The sequence below is a fragment of the Homo sapiens genome, chromosome 18 (genome assembly GCF_000001405.40).
Source record: "Homo sapiens chromosome 18, GRCh38.p14 Primary Assembly".
Taxonomy (NCBI): domain Eukaryota; kingdom Metazoa; phylum Chordata; class Mammalia; order Primates; family Hominidae; genus Homo; species Homo sapiens.
In genome coordinates, this window is record NC_000018.10 from 21,004,457 (window position 1) to 21,031,301 (window position 26,845).

Genomic DNA, 26,845 nt, shown 5'->3' on the forward strand with positions numbered 1-26,845 from the left:
ATGTGAGCTTTTATTCACGTTTAAGTTCCAAATTAAACTCTGAAAAAGAATAAACTAACAATAAATCATGCTATAAATTTTCCTTAACTTTTACTGATATCTAAAAAATAGATTCAGTTAAAAACCACTGTTGATAGTACATGGATGATCTCTGCCTCTGAAGCAAGGAGCTTAAAGCTCAGTCAAACACAGATCACAAACTTATAAGAATTTTAGAATTGGAAGGATTTATAGAGGTAACCTATTCTTATCTCCTTGGTTTACAGATAAAGAAGGGAGATGAAGAGACTTTCAAACAGCTAATAAGCTGTATAAAAAGGCCTAGGAAAACAATTTAAGGAAGTCTGTGACTTTCCTATTACATATAAAGTGGTTACTTTCTTAGTTATAATCAGATCTATTTTAAGCCTGGTCCCTGAGAAATATGATTGCACAACACTCCTCAGCTAAGAACCAACAGGAGATTGTATTTTCTGTTTCCTTAGTCACAAAAACTGACCCTGACCTCTCTCCACTGAATTATAGCTAATCATCAAGCCCCAAGGGACCTGAAACTATGTTCCCATCTCTAACTAAGGTTAAAAAGAACTCCTCCCTCCAATTTTTTCCTGAGACATCTGGCAACTTCTATGCATATTTGTTTTGATTAGGTAGTATGGATGCTGCTGCTAACAGGAATAGAAAATAGAAAAATATGTGAGTAGGTAAAGCCAGGAATCTTTTTGAAAACAAACTGAATTTTATTACTATTTAAAAACTGTTCATTTATTCACTTAGTTATACTCAATCTTCTGCCTCTTAGATTCACAAAGACTGTCAATATCTCCAGTTCAAACATTCCCAAGTATCTAACTTTTAATGTGTAATGGGATTTTATTTCTGCAACTGACTTTCTATTACTACCAACGATGCATGAGGAATTCCTAGGTTTTAATAGTGATAATCCTCTTTGCCTGGATTAGTCTCACTTTGAGTAAAACCTTTATGAATTAGGCAAGTTTTTAAATGAAGTTTTTGGTTAATTTGTCTGTAAAACTGAAAAATATCCACATTACATACCCTGCAGGAGTACCTGTGAGGGTGAAGAAATTACAATGTGATACAAATGTGGGCATTATTCTAAAAGAGAAAGAATGCTGGCCTGGTGTGGTGTCTCACACCCATAATGCCAGCACTTTGGGAGGTCGAGGTGGGCGGATCGCTTGAGCTCAGGAGTTTGAGACCAGCCTGGGCAAAATGGTGAAACCCCGTCTCTACAAAAAATGCAAAAATTAGCTGGGCATGGTGGCATGCACCTGTAGTCCCAGCTACTCAGGAGGTTGAGGTGGGAGAATTGCTTGACCTCAGGAGTTCAAGGCTGCAGTGAGCTGTGATCATGCCGCTGCACTCCAGCCTGTGCAACAGAGCAAGTTCCTATCTCAAAAAAACGTAAACAATAAAAAAGAATGCAACCATTTCTGGTTTCACCAAAGTCATTTTCTTTATGAGGGTAATATGATCATAAATATATTAACTTAGACTTAAAAATGGTCAAGATGGTAAATTTTATGTTATATATTTTTAACAATTAAAAATAAAAATTATAAAATATTCCTTCCATTGATAGATGAGTGGATGAACAAAATGTGGTATACACATACCATGGAATATTACTGAGCCCTAAAAAGGAAGGAAAATCTGACACACACAACATGGATAAACCTTGAAGACATTGTGCTAAGTGAAAAAAGCCAGACGCAAAAGGACAAACACTGTATGATTCCACTTATATGATGATGGTTGCATACATTGTGAACTGCATTTAATCCCACTGAACTGTATATATAAAAATGGTTAAAATGTTATAATAAATTTCATGTTACGTATATTTTACCACAATAAGAAAAAATATTACCTTGAAGGTCTCCAATCATCTCAGAATCATGACCTCTGTCTCTTCGTTCAGCTTCTAATATAGCTTGCAGCTGGTAATAATCTTTGTCTGTTTGTGACTTAGAATTCTCTAAAATTCGATTTCTCTCTTGCAACTCTCTGTTCAGGGACTCTAACTGACTAATTGACTTGCTCATCTCTGTGTGACTCTTCCTCAATCTTACAGCTGTGTCCGATTCTGTCCTAAGTAAGTCATTGGCTTCTTCTAGCTATTTAAAAAGAAAGCAAAAAAATAGGTTTCTGACCAAAGTACGATATAATTTAATTATCTACAATTTTTTTAAAAAGGAACCTCATTTGAAACACTTACCTGCTTTTGTAACTGGGACAGCTTCTCATTAGCAAGCTGTGAATTCTGACTGACTTTCTTTAAGTCTTCCAACTGATCCTTTAATGTAGAAACTAGAAAATGAAAGAATAATATATAGAAATTACAACATTTTCATAGGGGAAACATATAAATCCTTTTTTAAAAAAAGACATTTAGTCTTAGGCCATAATAGTCAGCTACATTAGGTCCACTCCCAAAGCCAAATTCCAATTTGGAAGTACCTGCATTTTAAATTCATTAAAAAGTAGAACATTATCTTCTAATACAGAGTGCAAAAAGATTTCTTCTTACTGTTGTAAATCTCAAACTCCTTTATTCCCTTTATAAGATCACTGATAGTATACTTATAAAGCTAGTTTTAATATTATTTATTTTTCAAGAGTTCAATTGCTTGATAATTCAATATCTTAATAAAAATACAAAATTTAAAAGGTACCAAATGGTAGATAGTATAGAATAAGTCCTCCTTTCTCCATTTAGTCATTTTTGCCCCTTCTGAGTCTCCCTTAACTGGCTCTCCTCCCTAATATATATTTAATTTAAGCATATATAGACAAGTACTCTTGTTTTAAACACAAGCAATCCGTTTCTGTCACTTAAAGATCTGTCTTAGAGACTGTTTTATAACCGTATTTAAGGAGATGATTTATTATTTTTTATAAGCCACATAGTATTCTACCATATAGATGTACTAAAATTTATTACAGCATTCATTACCTTTATGTTTCATATATGTATTACATTATGTTTCATATACAGCATTGACTGCATTTTTTTTGTCATTTTAAACAATGCTACAATGAATAGCCTTGTGTATATATCAGTTTGCAGTAGGAGTATGTACGTGAAATAACTTATGGAAGTGAAATTACTGCATCAATGGGAGTAGAAAGGTATTTTAAATATATTTGTAACACAAGCATTAAAACACAAGAAATTCTGGTTTAGAAGTTCTTAGACGCAGCTGCTTGTTAGAAGTACCTAGGGGGCTTGTAAAGAATAATGATACTCAGGCCACATATCTAGACCAATTAAATTAGAATCGCTGGGATTTAGGCATCAGTACTCTTTAAAGCTTCCCAGGAGATTCCAGTATGCACACCATGATGACAATCACTACTCTAGTTAAATGCTACTTACTATTTACTTTAATATGTAATTTAATATTTAATTTAATTACTATTTAATATGTTATAAATTTAACCTGAGACCTGGGTTATTTAGCTTATAAAGTGTCTTAGGATTGTAGCTTCATGTATGTATCATGGACACTAAATTAAAGACAACCTCATGACAGTGTTAGAAATTCTATCATTTTTCAAAAGTAGTGACAATTTACCTTCATTTTCTACATTTCTTCTCTTCTCATTTTCCTGTTCAGCTTTTCTTTGGTACTCATTAATTCTATGCTGTAGCAACATTTTCTCCTTCTCAATCTGAGACACTGTAGATTCTAGATTTCTTCTTTGATTTCCCTGGAATTATAATGATAAAAGTTACCACTGTGATTAATACTCTGGTCATTCATTCAAGTGAGTATTTTGTTCTTAAAAACAAAAAACAAGAAAAAAAAAAAGACAAACACTTAAGATGAATGTTCTGTTTCAAACGCAAATAGTATCTCCTAATACAACTTTCTAAGTAGCTTGCCTTTTAAGAAGACAGTGGGAATCTGTCTTCTGTAGCTGGGACTACAGGGACGCACCACTGCGTCCAGCTAATTTTTCTATTTTTGGTAGAGACGGCTTTTGCCATGTTGGCCAGGCTGGTTTTGAACTCTTGACCTCAGGTGATCCGCCTGCCTCAGCCTCCCAAAGTACTGGGATAACAGGCATGAGCTACTGTGCCCAGCCTAAAATACCCAAATTTTCACAACTTAAAAATGTACCTTTCTGAGTTACCACTATCAGTAAATCTTGTTTTTGATGCTTCACTTTTTAAGACTCCACATTAGGAAACCTGTTTTACAGTGTTTCTGGGCTTTCTCATCTTTAAGCAGAAATTGGACATAAATCATTCAAGGTCTTTCTGATTCTAAGAGTTTATCATTCTAACTTTTAGTTAATTTTTAGATAATTATACATTCAAAGAAAGTTGCAAAGATAGTACAGAGAGGTCCCAAGTGCCCTTCCACTCAGCTTCCCCCAGTAGAGACATTATATATAACAATAGTACAATAACAAAATCAGAAAATTCTCACTGGTATAAGGAGTGTATGATTCTCTCATTTTATCACATATGTAGGTTCATGTAAGCACCACCACAACGAAGATACAGAACTGGTCATCACAACAATTTCTTTCCAGTCACTAGTTATAGCCACACCCATCCCCGTCCTCCCACCACCCATACTCCTGGCAACTAATGGTTCTCCATTTCTATAATTTTGTCTTTTTGAGAATGTTATATAAATGGAACCATGCAATATATGACTTTTTGAGACAGGCTTTTTTTTTTTTTTTTTTTTGTATTTTTAATAGAGATGGGGTTTCACCATGTTGGCCAGGATGGTCTCGATTTCCTGACCTCGTGATCCGCCCGCCTCAGCCTCCCAAAGTGCTGGGATTACAGGCGTGAGTCACCGCGCCTGGCCAAGACAGGTTTTTTTTTTTTTTAACTCAACATAAAGACCTTAAAATCCATCTCTGTATTGTATGTATCTACAGTTTATTCCTTCTTGTGGCTGAGTATTCCATGGTACAAATGTACCGAAGTTTGTTCAACCATTCACCTACTGTAGGACATTTTGATTGTTTTCAGTTTTTGGCTATTACAAATAGAGCTGTTATAAACATTAGTATACAGGTTTTTGTGAGAATATACATTTTCATTTTTCTGGAATACATGCCCAAGAATACAATTGCTAGGTCACATAGTAGGCACATGTTTAGTTTTTCAGGAACACAGCCAATTGGTTTTCCAGAATGTCTGTACCATTTTATATCCCCATCTGCAATGTCCAAGTGATCTAGTTTCTCCATATCCTTGCCAGTTTGCTATTGACATAATTTTAAAACTTACTTTTTTTCATGGTTATGGAGTAATATTTCATGATAGTTTTAATTTGCACTTCCCAAATGACTAATTATGTGAACCTCTTTTCATAGGTTTATTTTCATCCATATATCTAAAAAGTTTAAAAAGTATGGATTCGCTTTCCTTAACACTTATATAGGGCTACTGAAATTACCTATTTCACACTGTATGAGTTGTGATAGTTTGATTTTTGAGAAGTTAGTCCCTTTCATCTACATGTCTTAATTGTGTTTAGAACTGTTCATAGGATTTCCTTATGATTCTTTTGATACCTATATGGTCTATAGTATATGCCCTATTTCATTCCTCATACTGGTAATTTGTGTCCTCTCTTTTTCCTTTATCAGTCTTGCTAGAGGTTTGTTAATTTTGTTGATCTTTTCACACAGCTTTTTGTTTCACTGATTTTCTCTATTGTTTTTCTGCTTTTAACTGCCTTGTTCTCTGCTCTTATCGTTACTTGTCCTTCCTTTTGCTTGTTTTGGGTTTATTTCACTCTTCTTATTCTAGTTTCCAGAAGTAGGAGTTTAAATTATTGATTTTAGACTTTTCCTCTTTTCTAAGGTAAGCATTTAGTGCTATAAATTAACCTTCATCACCATGTTAACAGCATCTCACAAATTTTGATGATGTATTTTCACTTCATTGTTCAAATATTTTGTAAAGATAAAGAGCCATAACAGTTTTATGAGACATAATTAACATTCCAATGTATTTTTTTCACTGAGACTTCTTCTTTGACCTCTGGGTTATTTAGAAGTTTATTGTTTGCTTTCCATGTGTTTGCAGATTTTTCTGTTATTCTCATCTGTACATTTTGGTCAGGAAACTGTATGATTTCAGTGCTTTCAAATGTGTTTGTTTTATAGCTTGGGATGTGGTCTACCTTGGTGTGTGTTCCTTAAGCACTTGAAAAGAAGGCATATTGTGCTGTTAAGCAGAGGGTTCTGTAAATGTTGAACAAATTCTGACAGCTGACAGTGTAGTTGAGTTCTCCTATGTTTGGTGATTCTTACGGGTGCTGAAGTCTCCAACAATAATTATGGATTGGTCTATTTAACCTTCCAGTCTTATCAACTTTTGCTTCACATACTTTGTAGCTCTGTTGTTTGGTGTACAGTTAGGATTTTTATTTATTTTTGGTGGATTGACTCTTATCATTATGTAATATTCCTCTATGTTCATGGTAATTTTCTTTGCTCTGAAGTCTACTTTAATTGGTATTAACATTGCCAATATGCTGCTTTCTTTTTAATATTTGTTATGTTATCTCTTCACATCTTCCGATGTTCAACTTGCCTATATTGTTATATTTGAAGAGTTTCTGACAGATATATAAATGGGGGATTTAAAAAAATCTACCCCTACCACCTCTTTTGATTGGTATTCCATTTAATTTCCATTTAATGTCATTATTGGTAGTATGTTAGGGTTAAGTCTGCCGTTTTTGTTTTTTTGTTTGATCTCTGTTATTTCTACATTTTCTTTCCTGTCTTTCTGTGGGTTACCTGAACATTATTTTAGCATTCCTTTTGATTTAACTATGGTGTTTTTGAATGTATCTCCTTGTAAGGCCTTTTCAGTGGCTGCCCTAGATATTACATTGTATATGCATAGCTTAATATATAGTACACTCCACTGGTATTGGCATCTTACCAGTTTGAGTAAAGTATAAACATCTTCCCTTTCTTCTTTTAATTTTTATCTTATTTATTTTTGAGAAAGGGTCTCACTCTGTCACCCAGGCTGGAGTACAGTGGTATGCTTATGGCTCACTGCAGCCTCAACTTCCTGGACTCAAGCGATCCTCCCACCTCTGCCTCCCTAGTAGCTGGGACTACAGGCGTGCACTACCACACCTGGCTAATTTTTGTATTTTTTGTAGAGACAGGGTTTCACCCTGTTGCTCAGGCTGGTCTTGAACTCCTGGGCTCAAGCAATCCGCTGGCCTTGGCCTCCCAAAGTGCTGGGATTACAGACATGAGCCACCACACTTGACCTAAAAACTTTACCTTTCTTTATGACCCATTACTCTCTGTTTATAATGTCTAAAATATTTTTTCTCATACACAGAGAATCATATTAGACAATATAATTTCTGCTTCAACTGCCTACTATAAAAAATAAAGAGGAGAAAAAAATGTATTTACCCATCTTTTACTGTTTCTTTATTCCTGGTAATTCAAAATTCCTCCTTTTTCTTTTGGAGACAGAGTCTTGCTGTGTCACCCAGGCTGGAGTGCAGTGGTGCGCTTGGCTCACTCCAACCTCCACCTCCCAGGTTCAAGCAGTTCTCTAGCCTCAGCCTCAGCCTCCTGAGTAGCTAGGATTACAAGTACACGCTACCACACTTGGCTAATTTTTTTTGTATTTTTAGTAAAGATGGGGTTTTGCCATGTTGGCCAGGCTGGTCTTAAACTTCTGGCATCAAGTGATCTGCTCGCCTCAGCCTCCCAAAGTGTTGGGATTACAGGTGTGAACCACCCTACCTGGCCAAGATTCCTTCTTTTATCATTTCCTTTCTGTTTAGAGAATTTTCTTTTGCAATTCCTTTAGGGAAGGTGTGCTGGTGACACATTATCTTAGTTTTTCCTCATCTGAGAATGTTGTCATTTTCTTTTTCATTTGAGAAGGATGTTTTAATTGAACACAGAATTCTAGGTTGATAGGTTTGTTTTTTTGTTTTTTTAGCACCTGAAAAAGTCATGCCACTTCCTCCTGGCCTCCATGGTTTCTGATAAGAAATCAGCTGTCACTTACACTGTTGTTTCCTTTCTAGGTAAGGTGTGTCCTGTATTTAAGATTTCTTTTTTGTCATTAATTTTCAGAAATCTGACTATTGTGTCTTGGTGTGGATATCTTTGGGTTTACACTTTTTGTGGTTTGCTAAGCTTCTTGGTAGTTCATGTCTTTTGTCAGTTCAGGTCTTTTGTCAAATTTGTTGAATTTTCTGTCGTCATTTCTTCCCACGCCCTTTCTCCTCTCCTTTAGTAATTCGAGTGACACAAATGTTAGAATTTTATTGTTATAGTTCTACAGGTCCCAGAGGCTCTGTCACTTTTTTTCTGATCATTTTCTCTCTGTTGTTCAGACTGCATAATTTCTATTTTTCTTTGTTGAAGGTCTCTGATTCGCTCCTCTGCATTGTTCACTCTGCTGCTGACACCATCTATTGAGACTTTTATTTCAGTTATTGTAATTTTTGGTTGGCTCTATTTTATATTGTCTATGTCTTTCTGAGACTATTTTTTTGCTTGTTTGTATGTTTACAGTTGCTCACTGAAACATATTTATGGTGATTCCTTTAAATACTTGTCAGATAACTCTAACATCTGTGTCATCTCAGCATTGGTATTAGTTTATTATTGTTTCTAATTCCAGTTAAAATTTTCCTAGTTCTGATTATGATGAGCAGTTTGCTATTCAAACCTGGACATCATCTTACAACATTCTGGATCTTATTTAAAATCTCTTTTAGAAGGTCTCCTCTGACACTGTTCTGGTGAAACTAAGGGGGTGCTGCCTCTTTTCTGCCAGGTGGAGTTTGCAGAAGTCCAGGTTTTCCACTCAGCCTCTACTGACACCTCAGGTAGGGAGGGGAGCAGATCCTCATCACTGCTGGGTGGAAGCAGGAGTTCTGGCACTCTACCAGGCCTCCATTGAGTGCACCATGGCTGCTCCTTATGTGGCCCCCACAGATGACACTGCATTGTGGAGGGGAGCTTGTTATTTTCAGTGGAAAGTTCTGACTCCCTACCATGTCTCTTTGATACCAACCCAGAAGGCAGTGGGAGGGGCACCCCCTTACTGCCAGCTGGAAGTGTAAGTGTAGATTCCCCACATGGTCACTGCTACGCTGTCTGGGGAGAGAAAGAAGGTTTGTTACTGCCCACAGGAGATGAAAATTCCTTTACTGGACCTTCTCTGACACTATTCTAATTGGAAGTTGGGGTGTGCTACAGCATAGTGGAGATGGAAGTCTAGACTTCCCACTCAGCCTTTGCTGTTAAGAATGGGGCTACAGTTGGCTGGGCGCGGTGGCTCAGGCCTGTAATCCCAGCACTTTGGGAGGCCAAGGCGGGTGGATCAAGGTCAGGAGATTGAGACAATCCTGGCTAATACAGTGAAACCCCATCTCTACTAAAAAAAATATATAAAAAATTAGCCAGGCATGGTGGCGGGCGCCTGTGGTCCCAGCTACTCGGGAGGCTGAGGCAGGAGAATAGCGTGAACCCGGGAGGCGGAGCTTGCAGTGAGCAGAGATCGCGCCACTGCACTCCAGCCTGGGAAAAAGAGCAAGACTCTGTCTCAAAAAAAAAAAAAAAAAAAAAGAATGAGGCTACCGTTTTTCTGTGGTGTTTGGCTGAAAAGAGCAGTGATAGTGTAAGTTTTCTGACTTGCTAGCCTGCTCCTTTTTTGGTCTTTAGGCTAAGGAAATTAGCTTTTTTTGGAGCTTTGTCTGCAACTGTTGATATTTCGAGGTTGCTGGCTTCTCCGGCACCCCGTCTAGGATACATGCAGCAAAAAGAAAACCCTGAAGACTCATTCATGTGTTGTTTCTCAGGACGCAAGTAACCCAGGTTGGTCTGCCTTCTTTCCACCTTTCAAAATCTTTTCATGTTTGTTTTATGTTTAATGTTTAGGGTTTTTAGCTGTACTTACTGGGAGGAATACAGAAAAGGTACTCTTACTCCATCTTTCTAGAAGTGAGACTATTTTAATTTCATACCTCAAATTTCCCTCTCTACTTCTAATTTGGAAAAATGAATAACTTAAATCTAGCACATCTGAATTTTATCTGTGTTTTAAAAGTTAAATATAAGTGGAAGATATGCAAAAAAGGACTCCTTAAACACTCAGAGTCAAATATATACTGCTAAGGTTAAGTACAAAGGCAAGTTAGTAAATGCTCTCTAAATCTTCATAGATATCCAAAGCTACCCATGAAAGCAAGCAAGCCATTGACAGATACCATTCTATAAGGGAAGAAAAAATTAACACAGCATAAAAACTATCAGAGATTAAACCTAAAAAAGGACAAAGTAAGTAATGTATTAGGAGAAGACTACAGAGAGTGTATTTCTTTTCATGGGACTCATAGACACAGTAGAAATATACTTAGAAGTTGACTAAGAGGAATGGAAATGTATTACATATTTGCAAACAAACATCTGAATTATGAATGCTTGTTATTGTTTCTCTGATAATAAAAAATTTTGACAGGTAACCATGGAAAAGATGAACATTCTAAAATCAATATATTTTCCATTTGATTACATGAGATTATGTCAGTGTTAATCTTTTAAAAATATTTTAAACTGTATTTCTCTCTTTTCCTTATTTGTCTGTCTCTTTCTGACATAGTTTGAGATTCAATTTCTGATCGCTTGCTTCTCTGGCTCCTTTCTCACATTTCAACCATCGAGAACCACTGAACTGAAATTTACGTACTAAAATTAATACGGCTGTAGAAAACAATTGTACAAAGGAAACTAAATTATAATCTAATCTGTACCACTTGAAACTGCAGTTCCAAGGTGAGGCTTTCATCACAATTCTCTGCTCTGTTTTGTGTTTCAAACTACAGAATTCAAATACAATTTTCTCAGGAAACGAAACAATTTGAAAGAGGGAAAAATCTCAAAAAGGAAACTTGATTAGAAAACAAAAAGTACCTCTTCATCCAATTCTTTCATTATCTTGTCTAGTTTTATGTTTGAGGTTCTGTAAAAACAAAAGCAATACAGATTAGAAATATACGTATTTCTTATTGCCCAGTGTTAAACACTAACATTCCTTACTTTTCCACTTAACTAGAGTTTTGTATCCTTTCTTGGTGCCATGGATCTCTTTGGCAGTCAAGTGAAGCCTATGGCCTTTTTTCAAAATATTTTTTGAAGCACAAAAATTATATATGATTAAAAGAGACAATTAGGCTGGGTACAGTGGCTCACACCTGTAATCCCAGCACTTTGGGAGGCTGAGGCGGGTGGATCATCTGAGGTCAGGAGTTCGAGACCAGCTTGGCCAACATGGTGAAACCCCGTCTCTACTAAAAATTAAAAAAAAAAAAAATTAGCAAGGCATGGTGGCGGGCGCCTGTAATCCCAGCTATTTGGGAGGCCAAGGCAGGAGAATCACTTGAACCTGGGAGGTGGAGGTTGCAGTGAGCCGAGATCATGCTACTGTACTCCAGCCTGGGTGATACAGTGAGACTCCATCTCAAAAAAAAAAAAGAAGCCAATTATATTGAAACACAGTAATAAACTTTAAAAAAATATGTGTAATTCAGTAGTATATATGCTTCCTTATTAATATATTAAATCACAACATCTAGTGGCAGTGATTTCAAAGTATTGATGAGCATAAATGATATTTAGAGATAGCTGTAACAACTGTAATAAGAAAACATCTATAATTTCTATTGGTAATAAAAATTAACAACTACTGCTAATAACTGAATTGCTGCCTATGCTCAGAATTGAAACAAGTGCTAAAATTAAGTTATAAGTTAGAGAAAACGTTCACCTTTTGTCATCCACGTTTAAGGACTTCAAATTTCATCCATGGACTCTTTGGGGGAGGTCTATGGATTTCAGGTTAAGGATCCCTAAACTCCGTCATGCAATACTTGCCACTACTCAAAAATTAGCCATTTATCCTTTAATACAGGATAAAGTAAACAAAGAGAAAGGTAGTATATATCAAATCAGTAAAGGCACCATTTGGCAACACTCAAAGTGTATTATCTTCATTACCATTTGCTTTCTTTGGTTCAAAATGTAATTCTGAGCTTCAAAACCTATATATGCAACATTTTCACGTGGATGTCTCATTAAATACCTCATTCAGCATCTCCAAAATAGAACTTACTGCCTCTGTTCCACACTCCCACCCCAATACCAATTTGCTTCTCTTCTAGAGTCCCTAAGTAAATGACAACACCTAGGAATCATCCTTGACTCATCCTCCCTCACTCCCATTTAGCTGAATAAAGTGCCAAGTGCTGCTAATTAAGCAGGAACTTCTTTTGAAAACAGCAAATTTAATATATATTTTTTACTTATTAGTTTAATGACTTTTGATGTTTTTCCATTACACTTAAATTCCAAATTTCTTAGCCCCCCCGCAAAAAAAAAGAGAAAAAAAAATTCTCCCCAATCTAGACCTTGCCATCCTCCCCATTCTCATCTCAGGCTTTTCCTTCCCTCACATCTTACTGGCCAGTCAAGGTCTCTTACCTCACGGCCTTCACAGATACTCACCTCCTGGACCCTAACACTTCCTTCCACTCTTCTCCTAATAATTTCCATTGACTCTTCTGGTTTAGCTTTCTCTGATCTCTGACAAAACAGTACAGGCATCTCCTGATGTATTCCTGATATTCCTGTATAATTTTATTCTCTCCCCAATTAACACATACCACACTTCTTTTTTTTTTTTTTTTTTTTTTTGAGATGAAATCTCGCTCTGTTGCCCATGCTGGAGTGCAGCAGCGCAATCTCAGCTCACTGCAAGCTCCGTCTCCCGGGTTCATGCCATTCTCCTGCCTCAGCCTCCCGAGTAGCTGGGACTACAGGCGCCCGCCACCGCGCCCAGCTAATTTTTTGTATTTTTAGTAGAGATGTGGTTTCACCTTGTGAGCCAGGATGTCTTGATCTCCTGACCTTGTGATCCGCCTGCCTCGGCCTCCCAAAGTGCTGGGATTACAGGCATGAGCCACCGCACCTGGCCTACCACACTTCTTGATAATTACTTACTTGTTTTTCTTGCTAAATTACAAGCTCCTTGTGGAGAGGGGCCATGTCGTGATTTATTCAGTACTATATTGTTGACAAGCACATTATATGACACTTTAACTGAAATTTTTATTGAATAAATGAATGTAACTAAAATGATTTGAATGCAGAGAATTTGATTTAAAGAAATGCAAGTGGCCGGGCGTGGTGGCTCACACCTGTAATCCCAGCACTTTGGGAGGCCGAGGTGGGCGGATCAAAAGGCCAGGAGATCGAGACCATCCTGGTTAACACAGTGAAACCCCGTCTCTACTAAAGAATTCAAAAAATTAGCCAGGCATGGTGGCGGGCGCCTGTAGTCCCAGCTACTCGGGAGGCTGAGGCAGGAGAATGCCATGAACCCGGGAGGTGGAGCTTGCAGTGAGCTGAGATCACGGCACTGCACTCCAGCCTGGGTGACAGAGTGAGACTCTGCCTCAAAAAAAATAAAAACAAAAAAAAAATAAATAAAATAAAGAAATGCAAGTAAATATCACTCCACAATCCCTAGCACTAGGTTTTTATTTTAAAAACTATTTACCAATTCAATATATAATTTTTTAAAGTTTCATCTCAATTTTATTTCCTTGAGGTGATACTTTCATATGATTATTAGCCAATTCAGCCATTCTTATTACTTCCTCAAACTGATCCCTACTCACCATTACTACCAGTTTGTCACTTGTCTTTTAATTTTGTTTAAAAATTTTTTTGGGCCAGGCACGGTGGCTCACGCCTGCAATCCCAACACTTCGGGAGGCTGAGGTGGGTGGATCACCTGAGGTCAGGAGCTCGAGACCAGCCTGGTCAACATGGTGAAATCCCGTCTCTACTAAAAATACCAAAACTAGCCAGGCGTGGTGGCAGGAGCCTGTAATCCCAGCTACTCGGGGGACTGAGGCAAGAGAATCACTTGAACCCGGGAGGCAGAGGTTGCAGTGAGCCGCGATCGCGCCATCATACTCCAGCCTGGGGGACAAGAGTGAGATTTCGTCTCAAAAAAAAAAAAAAAAAATTTGGATGTAGAGACTTCCCAACATTTATATAACAGTATCTACCCAGTTCTTCCCCTTATTTACATATTTTATACTTAGAAATTCTTTCCAAATCCTGGGGTCAGTTAATTATTTGCTTATATTCAAATGCCTTTTTAAAAGAAATTTGTATTATACACTTAACCACATAATCTATCAGGAATGGTTAAAAGTGAGAATTTTATCTGTTTTGTACCAAACCCCCCACCTGCTCTGTCACAAAATTACCAGTGTTCCCAATTTTATTTGTTGAATACTTTTCGTGTTACCTTTGCATTTCATTTATTCAATACTATTCACTAAAAACATAAATAATTATAAAAAATTATTGCTTATAATTGATAAGTAATTCAGTATTATGCTAGGTAATTTAAAATAAACGTGAGCATAACTCAAAGATATTTTTTCTGTGAGTCTAATGACAATAACATGCTGAAATTAGACCCACAGAAAAAGATACTCTGAGTTACTGCTCTGGTGAACCACAGTGGAAATTAGAATGGCCACATCAAAAATTTAGTATATTTTAATCTTCAACATTTTACATTTCAAAAAGCACCTGATTTAATGTAAACTAATTTCCCCTTTATTTATTTTTCTTTTTGAGACAGAGTCTTGCTCTGTCGCCCAGGCTGGAGTGCAACGGTGTGATCTCGACTTCCTGCAACCTCTCCCTCCCGGGTTCAAGCAATTCTCATGCCTCAGCCTCCCAAGCAGCAGGGACTACAGGGGCACACCTTCGTGCCCAGCTAATTTTTTGTATTTTCAGTAGAGATGCGGTTTCGCCATGTTGGCCTGGCTGGTCTTGAACTCCTGCCCTCACGTGATCCACCATGTGCAGCCTAATTTGCCCTTTTAGTTAGCTAATTATGTAAAGAGAAAAAAGCAGTAAGTCAGGCAACTAAATGAATTAGCATTACAGTTTTTTAAGAATACAGACTGTTGGCCGGGTGCGGTGGCTCACACCTGTAATCCCAGCACTTTTGGAGGCCGAGGCGGGCAGATCACGAGGTCAGGAGATCGAGACCATCCTGGCTAACACTGTGAAACCCCGTCTCTACTAAAAATACAAAAAAAAAAATTAGCCAGGTGTGGTGGCGGGCGCCTGTAGGCCCAGCTACTCGGGAGGCTGAGGCAGGAGAATGGCGTGAACCCGGGAGGCGGAGCTTGCAGTGAGCCAAGATCGTGCCACTGCACTCCAGCCTGGACGACAGAGCGAGACTCCATCTTAAAAAAAAAAAAAAAGAATACTGCTTTACTTTCTGATGACTGTAATGAAAACACAGTTGGAACATATTACAAAGTACACAATATATTATTTTCATGAATTAAAAAAAAAAAAAAGAATACAGACTGCCAGGAACAAATGTACTTTAAATATTCTGAGGAAAATACATCTATAACTAAGCCAACATAAATACAACTTCTCAATTCTAGCCGAGACACATCATGAATGTATTATCAGTAGTAATCTTTACATCCTCATTTTCTATTTACTTTCAGATGTTTACAGGGTATAAGCTTTCAAGTAAGTATTTGGTATATAAAACTTTTAATATGAAAAACTTAAAGTATATTCTCACCTGCACTTCTGCTCCATTTCATCTTTTAACTGCATTTCATTATGCAGCTGTTCTTCCAGCTTATAGATTGTTTTTTGCAAACTTTCCTGCTTTAATTTAAAACAAAAACAAAAACTCATTCTACTAAGAATATTTAGACATTTAAAAATATCAAGTCTATGTTAATATTTTAAACCTTTTTAGAAAATAATTTAATTTAATCTTACCTCTTTCTATCTCAATTTTTTTATTATTAATTTAACAAGCACTTTCTTAACATTTACTAAACGTTAGGCCATTAGAAATACAAAAATTAAAAAGATTTGGTTCCTGTTCTCATGAAGCAAATAGTTACATAGTGAGGCAAAGTTAAATTGGAAGAGAAAAAAGAAGCTACAATGTCCCAAAGACATATACACAAAATATTACAATAGACTGTGGTAAATAATAAAAAAATTATCTACGGAGTGTTCCAAAGGAGAGAAAAGGTCACTTCTAACTCTGCCAAGAATATATAATCCTTGAGTTGAGGCCTAAAAGATAAGAAGAACTGATAATCTGATAAAGCAAAGAAGGTGGCACAAGAAAGGCATTTTAGCTAGAATGAACAATGAGCCCAAAAGTAGAAAGGCAGAAGAAAATATGATATATTTGGGAAATGGAAAGAAATCAAGTACTATAGCAGAGCACAGAATGTAATAGGAAAAACAACTCACATTAAGCCTAAGAAGGTAATGATCCTTGTATGCACAAACTGGAGTTGGGGACTTTACCCCATAAGCATTTTAAATGAGAAATGACATAATACTGGCACCTCAGAAACATCACTACAATAATAAGGTTAATGAACAGCTTAGAGGGCAGTGAAGTTCTAAGAAGAGCAACCAGTTAAAAAGCTATCAAAGCAGTTCAGACAAGAGAATATGGATCTGATAAAAGGCAGAGGCTACAGGAATGAAGAGGAAGTAATGGATAAAGGTATCAATTGGAAAGCACAATGTATGACCAAACCGACTGGAAGTTAGAATAGATATAATACCATTATGAAAGACAGCCAACACACTGCTAGGGAGGGAATGGGGACAGGAAAACAGTGAGTTTAGCTCTGGCCTAGTTTGATATGCCTGAGAAGTATACAGAAGAGAGAGAAAGATTCAGGACTGGAGCTCAGACAAGCAAGCTGGACATGAATGAGATTACCTACAGAGAAAGAGCAGAGAGCCAAGATCAGAACTTTGGGAAATGTTAATAATTGAAAGTGAGCAGAGGAGGAAGATCCTGAAAAGAGGATTGAAAAATAAATAAAATTCAAAAATATGGGAGGTAAAAAAGAGGGAAACAATAGGAACATAGAAGATTTAGAAATGTTTGAAGTTCCAAAGAAGTAGGAAGCAGTCAGTGTCAAATACAGCAAAGAAGAAAAATAAGATATGGGCTGAAAATCATCCACTGTATTTGGCAATTGCAAAGTTGTTCAATAGCATCTCTGCTAGGTTTTCAAGGAAAATTAAATTAGTTGATTTTGTACTTAGTTCTAGGTTGAAATAATTAGTATATCCCCCCTGATATTATTAGAGCAAAAGATAAAGGTAGCAACCACTGATAAACTTATGGTAATCACCACTGAACAAAATCAGCCCAAAGAAAACATGAATCCTTTGAATATTTTTGAAGGCCGAAGGCACTTCTAACTCTACAGTCAAGTAACACAGTGAGAGCTGACTTACAGCAACTCCTTATTATTACGTAGGTCAAAGATTTTTGAGCCCTTGTTAGCAATACATAACTTGCCAAACAGCTCTACTGGGATTAAAATTTAAGAGAAAGATGAACTTAACACCAAATGAGTACTCATATAGTTCCTTCACCTTTTTCTCATTTTCCCTTTTCACCGCATGTTCTCTTATATTTAAGAGTCAATATATCAAGGAGAAAGAAAAGAATCATTATCAGCTTTTTAAAAATGGCTGCTACCTCTTCCTCTCCTCTGTTAAAAATATGTAGGCTTGCAATGTCTCTGTGCCCCCCCACAAAAAAATGTAGGCTATAGTAGACAAAAAGTTCAAAGAATGCTCTAGGAATGGACAGATAATTACTCTGGATATTTTTCAGAAAATTCCTGTTAACCCAAAAGGACCTTCTGAAATGTAAGCAAGTAAGATTTTGTTTTACCTCTGTGTCAGAACATGAGCTATATAAACAACAGAAAGAACTCAACTAAAATGTATTTTCTGGAGTAATATACTTCTCAGTGGACAAATTAAGATGATGCTAACTATACTGGTTATTCTCCATTTCCCCCATTCCCTTCTAACCTTGAAAATTCATCCTCTGCTCTTCTTTGCCTTAAAATCTACAGATTGCATTGCCTGTATTACTCTGTAGCCCTATGATTTTAAGGTTGGTTTCAACCCACAGGAGACACCAGCAGAAATCTGAAGGTAAAAGAAAGAAATATTCATTTCCCTACACCCTTTGTGCTTTACTGTGGTTTTCACAATGCTCTACGTTTTATATTCCTCTTCTATGATGTCAGGCTTTCTCTGAGCTACGATAAGATTTTCTCTCTTTGCTCCTTCAGTATAGGGCAATGGCTTCCCACTCTTGTTCATACATGGGTGCTTTAGTACCCTTTATTGTTTCCCTCTACTGATGTTCACAGCATGTTAATCATCCCTTCATTAAACTCTTGATTTAATAAATGCAAAAATATGGTGTGTGTGTATATATGTGTGTGTGTGTGTATATATATGTATGCAATGGAATATTACTCAGCCTTAAACACGAAGGAAATTTTAATATATACTACAACATGGATGAACCTTGAAGACATTATGCTACATGAAATAAGCCAGTCACATATGGATAAATATTGTATGATTCCACCTCATATGAGGTACCTGGAATAGGCAAATTCATTGAGACAGAAAGTAGAACAGTGGTTACCAGGAGCTGGGGGGAGGGTGAAATGAGGAGTTACTGTTTAATTGGTATAGATTTTTAGTTTGGGATGATGAAAAGGTTCTAGAGATGGATGGCAGTGATGGCTGCACAACTATGTGAAGGTGCTTAATGCCACCGAACTGCACACTTAAAAATGATTAAAACGGTAAATTTCATGTTACGTATATTTGCCATACACACAAAACTCTCTGTTTAAATATTTTGAACATGTAATCTGTTTGCCTGTCAAGACCCTTAATGATACATTGATATATCATAGTTCCTGATTCCGAAGATTAAAAAAGATGACCACTGTCAATCTGTGTAACAATTTAGTTTACTAACTGCCTCCAAATATATTATTCCATTTGATATTTGAGCAAAAAATCAGACTGAAAAGGAGATGGGAGATGAAAGTGCCATAAAAATCTAAGTTCAGCTAACCACAGCTTCACAAACAATATATAAATTTACTATCATACCCACAAATATATTATCCACAAAACAATTTTAAAAACAATTTTCTTAATACTAAGAAAATACCTACCAAGCTTTTATCTGCATTGGAGCTAGTTCTGTTATCATTAGGATTTGCTGAAGATAAGTATCTGAGGGAAAGAAAAGTTTAAAAAGAAAAGAAAACAAAAAACTCTGTAATATCCCATGACAACCAATAATAAATACTACACGCCTATTTTATGTTCAGTTATAGTAACTTTGTTTTTAAAAATTAAGTATAGGTTCATAATTTTTATAAACATAATTCAGAAATGATACATATATTAAATAAAACACCCAGTTAGGTCTAAAAATAGTAGCAGCCTGTAAACATATGACTTAATATTCCTGCAGCAAAACATAAGAATATTCATACCAAGTAGGATAAATAAAAACCATAGTCTCAAGTTAGTTCAGATTAGGCTTTCTGGTCATGAGAGCAGGTTATGACAGGTTTTTCCACCAAACAAATAACTTAAAAACATTCAGTTTTCAGAGCTTTTTGTATATAAGAATTGGGGGTAAGAAACTGCTGACTTCTGCAGACATATGCATAACCACCTCTCCTGCACCCAACTATCCTTCAGCAAAGCATAATATTGCCTCTTCGGGTCAAAAAAGTTTTTGCCTATGTGGGTGAAATAACAGAACCAAAGTTTAGGTGATGCTGCTAATCTTTTGGGACTCCCAGCCTTGCAGAGTTCTTTAAATTCAGTGTAAAGTTAGAATTGTATATAAATAAAGCTATTAGTGAACTAATTTAGAGGTCTTTTTTAGATGTCTCACAAGATTCTCAAACAATCTAAATAGATCATATATGTAAACAATTTTTTAAGCTACCAAATATTATATAAAGGTAAGGTACTAGTACTGCCAGTGTTGCTCCTACTGCCACCATGCTACGACTACCATAATCACTACTTCTACCATCACCACCACTACAGTCAGCACCCTGATTAACCAGTAGAGCTATTGCAAAAGGAGATCAAATAGTTACAGTATACTTCATAGCTATTGGAGGCATGTGTTAACACACCAGATATTAATAATGTTCCAAAAGAACAGTTTAAGTAAATTTTAAAAATTAGTGAATAACAGAAGATAATCAAGTATCCATTAAGTATCAATAAACATACACAGTACAATGGTACTATAAAAGAAACAGCTAGAAATATGCCACTTCCTAGGTTTTCCTTGAAAAATTATTCAGATCAAATGGAGATTCAAATAACTTTAAGACAATAATAGGGGCTGTGTAGCAGCTTTATAGAGGAAAAGTCCCATATAACAAATGACAAATTCTAGGTGTGGTGCAATTTAATTCCATTGACTACTAAGCATCTCAGAAATTCAATGTGAGATTCTGCTTATGTAATATAAATAAGGCATATAGCAATGCCAGTGGCATCTAAATTAGATGAGACTGTTTCATCTCTAAGATATTTTCTAAACTTAACATGCTATGTGACTGAGACTGACATTTTAGTCTTCTGCAAAATTAGTAATATAAGCTTGAATGCAGCAAAGGAAATGTAAGGACATCACTTGTATACATCCATTAATTCTTCCACCTTCTGTCTTTTCTCTATCAAGGTACATTTGCATATTATATTGGTGCTTTTACATAGAATCTGGTCATTTAGGTAACTTTTTACAAAACGGGAGTTACTATATTAGGAATATAGCTTAAGGCTATTTTAAAAATCATGTTTAATTCAGCTATAATTAAGCAACAATGATTTCTGCCCTTGGTATTAAAAGTATATCTGGATTTCAGGGATAAGAATTTCAGAGGTTTTCTATTTCATATCTGTATATTCAAAATTATGCTTACATATTACAATAAAGCTAATCAATATTTTGCCAGGGCCAGGTGCAGTGGCTCACACCTGTAATCCGCTGGGATTACTTTGGGAGGCCAAGGTGGGTGGATCACTTGAGGCCAGGGGTTTGAGACCAGCCTGGCCAACAGCCTGGCCAACATGGCAAAACCCCATCTCTAATAAAAATACAAAGATTAGCCAGGCATGGTGGTACGCACCTGTAATCCCAGCTACTCAGAGGCTGAGGCACAAGAATCACTTGAACCCAGGAGGCAGAGATTGCAGTGAGCCAAGATCACACCACCGCACTCCAGCCTCAGCGACAGAGTGAGACTCTTGTTTCAAAAATATATATATATTTTGTTGGTTCTTTCTTTATGAACAGCAACCGTACCTTTGCCTGTTCAGGTAGTAAGTGATTACTTAAAAAATACTATATTTATTTGTCAATAGGCTGTGACAGTTAAGAACACAGTATAATTTCTACTTTTAAGAAACTTAAAAATTAGTTTGGGCCATAAAACATGAATACGAAGAAAAGCTAGAGAACATAATCAAGTGCATGATAATGTAGGACAAATAGTATAATAAATGTTTATTTAACTGAAGGTTACCATTATACAGAGAAACCTAAATAAAGTTATTAACTGCTGGACTCTACTACAGAAAATACAAAAACATTGGCGGTTGTTTATATCAACAACTTGAGTGTTTCAGAAACCAAGTCAAAGAATAATTGATAAAAATACAAAAAGTTAACACTTCAGCAGGCTGGGCACAGTGGGTGACACCTGTAATCCCAGCACTTTGGGAGGCCAAGGTGGGCGGATCACCTGAGGTCGGGAGTTCGAGACCAGCCTGACCAACATGGAGAAACCCTGTCTCTACTAAAAATACAAAATTAGCCGGGCATGGTGGCACATGCCTGTAATCCCAGCTACTCGGGAGGCTGAGGCAGGAGAATCGCTTGAACCCAGGAAGCGGAGGTTGCAGTGAGCCGAGATCGTGCCATTGCACTCCAGCCTGGGCAACAAGAGCAAAACTCTGTCTCGAAAAAAAAAAAAAAAAAAAAAAAAAGAATGCTTCAGCAAAAACCACCCTGAAGCTCTTCTGTATATGTATGTTAATTGAATACAGTTATAATATTATACTCACAGAGTGTTAGGGAGGAAAAAAAGATAAGTGCCAGCTATCTCATTGATGTTGCAACAAAAAGTATTAAGTACTATCTTACAGTGGATTACTGAAGAAGTTTCAAAAAGCCGGACTAAATTGTCTTTTTGTTTTCTAAGATTAACTTGAATGGCTCTTACACTAAAATGACAAGACCCTTCACTTTAAAATAAGATTAGTTATAATGACCTCAAATGTAATAATTTACTCCAAGCCAATCAGTTATCTGATACCATTCCAAAGGAGTATAATTTGATTAGAAGTACATATTTTTGAGGTAATTAAAAGTAGATTTAACCCACCCAGTAAGTGTTATCATATAGTTCAATGCATTATACTGGTATAGCACTTTGTTTAGATTTCTTTTTCTTTCTTTTTTTTTTTTTTTTTGAGACAGAGTCTCGCTCCATTGCCCAGGCTGGAGTGCAGTGGCGTGATCTAGGCTCACTGTAACCTCCGCCCCCCAGGTTGAAGCGATTCTCCTGCCTCAGTCTCCCAAGTAGCTGGGATTACAGGCATACGCCACGACACCTGGCTAATTTTTGTATTTTTAGTAGAGACGGGGTTTCACCACATTGGCCAGGCTAGTCACGAACTCTTGACCTCAAGTGACCTGCCCACCTTGGCTTCCCAAACTGCTGCGATTACAGGCGTGAGCCACCGTGCCTGGCCGAGATTTCTACTATGTAGTTCTTACTAACCTACATTGCACAATTTATGCATTTCTCACCAAGATGTGAGCATCTCAAGAGAAGGCACTGTATCTTATTCATCCTTCTCCATGCAATTTGGTGCTCAGTATATACCTGACAAATAATAAGTTATCAAAGATATCTGTGGAATGAATGAATGCTCAGCACACTAAAATAATGTTAAATGTTTAACTTAAATCTCAAGTACATTAGAGTAAAGCTAACATGAACTCATACTAATGGTAATAATAGTTAACACTGAGTGCTTACACCATGCAAAGCCCTCTTCTAAGTGCTGTACTGTGTTTTAATTTACTTAAACCTTATAACAATCCTATGAGGTAAGTAGGCAAGCAGTATTATTGTTATTATCATCATCCCTATTTTTGAGGAAATGGAGGCATAAAAGGCCAAAGTTATTTGTCCAAGGTCACAGTGGAGGTAATACTACATTTTATAACACATGGTAAAATTTGGGGAGGAATCACTTAATTTTTTTTTTTTTTTTTTTTTTTTTTTTTGAGACGGAGTCTCGCTCTGTCGCCCAGGCTGGAGTGCAGTGGCGCGATCTCGGCTCACTGCAAGCTCCGCCTCCCGGGTTCACGCCATTCTCCTGCCTCAGCCTCCCGAGTAGCTGGGACTACAGGCGCCCGCTACCACGCCCGGCTAATTTTTTGTATTTTTAGTAGAGATGGGGTTTCACCGTGTTAGCCAGGATGGTCTCGATCTCCTGACCTCGTGATCCGCCCGCCTCGGCCTCCCAAAGTGCTGGGATTACAGGCGTGAGCCACCGCGCCCGGCCCACTTAATTTTTGAAGAGCTAAAAATTGATACAGCATCAATATGGTGATGATAATGCTAGAAAAGTCTACATGCTGGCCAGGCACGGTGGGTCACGCCTGTAATCCCAGCACTTTGGGAGGCCGAGGCAGGCAGATCATGAGGTCAGGAGTTCAAGACCAGCCTGGCCAACATGGTGAAACCACATCTCTACTAAAAATACAAAAATTAGCTGGGTGTGGTGGCAGGTACCTGTAATCCCAGCTACTCGGGAGGCTGAGGCAGGAGAACTGCTTGAACCCAGGAGGTGGAGGTTGCAGTGAGCAAAGATTGTGCCACTGCACTCCAGCCTGGGTGACAGAGCAAGACTCCATCGTGGAAAAAAACAAAACAAAACAAAACAAAAAAAGTCTACATGTTGTTTCAAAATGTATTATAAACCATAAGTCTACAGATCAAAATATCAGTATTTATGGCATTTTTTGACCTATTAATTGTTGTAACTTGAGGATATATAGTATATCATTTAGCAAAAAAATTTTGAAAAACAATGTCCTAAACATGGATGAGTCCAAGAGAAATTAAATATGAAATACTGGAAATATCATGCATCAATGAAAAATTGCATAATAAGGTGTATCTTTATATAGCATTAAATCTACTTTAAAAATGATTTTTAGATATTTCTAAGAACAAAATCAGCACTTACTCCTATAATCACTGTTTAGCATACTTACCTACGATTGCTATAATATGTAAATCCTACAAAAGGTAGTTGATTGCCAACGAAAGCTTTAGGAATAGGGAATGTTTCTTCCTCTCCTTTATCTTCTTCCAAGTCATCAAAATTACTAGTATCAATGTCACTACTTAAATCGGGTACAACTGGTGCTACAGCTAAAGACAAAACAAAATTAGTTGTTCACTTCAAACTTAAAATACAAGTAAAGTGAAGCACATTCCATACCAACTACTGATGGTTTCTCTCTTATAAAACCTTGCAAACCACAAATTCCACCTGGCTTGAATCCTATTACATCAAGCTTTACCAGGACTAAAAATCAACTGATAATTGATCATTATGTAATTCTATGAAACAATTATCTTCAAAGTCACCTATAATTATCTATACCTTGGGTTTAACTTGACTATTACAAATCAAGTATTACTAAGGTTTGTTTTAGAATGTACCAAGGTATAAAATACACAAAAGCATTCGGGACTACAGAAAAGACTTTTTAGAAACTAAAGCATAACAAACTGTACTCGAAAAAATTGTTTAGCTTTAAATATAGTATTTTTTGGTTAATCTGCTGTATAGTAAACCAGAAATTAAGGTTACTTCTTAGCTTCCTGGACATCATAATTTGGTACTGAAATATTTTTACTCACTCAGAATCCAGATGATCAATACTCCTTTCTCCCACCCCAATATCTCCATAAGATTAAGCCACAGGAGCAATGGATTTGGAATTGTATTTTCAGACTAGCTACCTCTAGAATCAAGTGATTAAGACTAATGCAGTGAGGTATTTATGATATCATTGTTAATAAAAAAGGGCAGTAATATAAAAAATGGATATGACATCTTCAAGAATTATAAATTTGATGTGGACCAAGTCTTCCAGATACTTAATAATATAAAACCGTATGTGACAACGTTTAAATATTCATAATATAGGAGAAAATTCCATATAAAACTAATACTACTAACATCTATTTTTGGGGCTTGAATGTTACAAGGGGTACATCTAAAAATAAATTCTAAGAAAATAAAATTTTAAGAAAATTTATTTTTTAGCTTAAAGATACTGTAGTATAATAAAACATCCCTGAATTATGATCATCAAAATACTAAAAAATTATTTTAGGTACAATAACCTCATGTTCTTTTAGGGAAAAGGAATCAATTTTCTTTTCAATCACCTGGGTATTTCAGGCAAGAAATACCTATTCTTGTGCCATCTGAGACACAGTAAATTAATATTTAGGGAACGAAACAACACATTTAGCCAAATGAAGCTGTAGTACTAACAGTAACACAAGAGGGATATTAGGGCTTTTCCACCATTCCACTTTCCTTAATGGCCAACAGAACTGTCTGATTAGACATGGCCAGCTTTCTAATATTTGTAAAATGAGGTGAAAACACTAAACAGTTGCCGCCCTTGGGAAATACAGAAGTTAATTATGGTCTTGGCATACATTTTATGTTAAAAGAGTGATCTCAATCAGAGACACTTTTGCCTGCTGGAAGGTGTTCAGCAATGTCTGGGTACATATTCTGGTTGTCATTAATGGGAAAAAAGGTGTTACTAGCACCTAATGAGTACAGTCATAGGATGCCACTAAACATCCTTAAGTTTAGGATAATCCCCACAAAAAGAATGATCTGTCAACTGCTAAAGCTCAGAAAACCTGCTTTAAAATTATATCAGAAAGAGAGAACAGAGTAAGTGTGCTGCATTTTCTCTTGCTGTTTCTGATGGACCTACTCTTTTTATAAATGACACTATTTCACAGTAGTTCTAAAATGACAAATTCTCACCTGTTTAAATTCTGAGATACAAGTGGGGAAAATATTGGAAGAGTTATAAAAATAATTATTTCTGCTTCTAAATTAAGATGCTTAGGCTTTATATAATGCCATTTAATCACTTCAGAACTAATAAGAATAAAGATAACTATGGAATAAACATCAGTATATATTTGTTTAAAAATTTGTTTTCATTAAATAACTGTTAATTTAGAAATCATGTTCCATAAAAAAGAGTCCAGCAGATGTTGTCAAAAATGGCAGAGTAGGGAACTCAAAGAAATCATACCTCCACTGAAGCAACCATTGAGTTGGCAAAAACGACCAGAGCAACTTTCTGAGAACTCTGGAATCTAATAAAAAACTAATAACAAGCAAGGAGTGTTTAATGAAGAAAGAGGCTATAAAAATTTGGCATTTAAGGAAATCTCTGTCACTGGCTGAGATAATGAAATGGAGATTTCAGTGAATACACATGACAAGGAATACAGATTTTGCAAAATTAGTTTGGAAAAGTCACTAAATGAATGAATGACTGCAGCCCACAACAAGCAACAACCGCAAGCCCTGGGGGAAAGAGGAAGAATCTGATTTCCAGAGTTACAACACTGTAATATCCAAAATGTCCCTCTTAGAAGGATACAGCTGCTTTAAAACAATGTCCAGTTTACAACAAAAAATTACAAAGCATGTAAAGAAGCAAGAAAATATGGGCCATTCACAGGGA

At 36.5% G+C, this 26,845-nt stretch overlaps 1 protein-coding gene across 1 annotated transcript in view; it reads right to left on the minus strand.

The window, feature by feature from the left end:
- ROCK1 (Rho associated coiled-coil containing protein kinase 1) overlaps nucleotides 1-26,845 on the minus strand; it is a 164,908-nt gene that overhangs the window by 57,551 nt on the left and 80,512 nt on the right. The window contains exons 10-16 of the mRNA NM_005406.3: nucleotides 24,320-24,479; nucleotides 19,164-19,224; nucleotides 15,695-15,783; nucleotides 10,975-11,023; nucleotides 3,603-3,738; nucleotides 2,243-2,334; nucleotides 1,895-2,141 (exon numbers count right to left, since the gene is read on the minus strand). Coding sequence (NP_005397.1) covers nucleotides 1,895-2,141; nucleotides 2,243-2,334; nucleotides 3,603-3,738; nucleotides 10,975-11,023; nucleotides 15,695-15,783; nucleotides 19,164-19,224; nucleotides 24,320-24,479 — 834 coding nt within the window. The remainder of the gene's footprint in view (nucleotides 1-1,894; nucleotides 2,142-2,242; nucleotides 2,335-3,602; nucleotides 3,739-10,974; nucleotides 11,024-15,694; nucleotides 15,784-19,163; nucleotides 19,225-24,319; nucleotides 24,480-26,845) is intronic.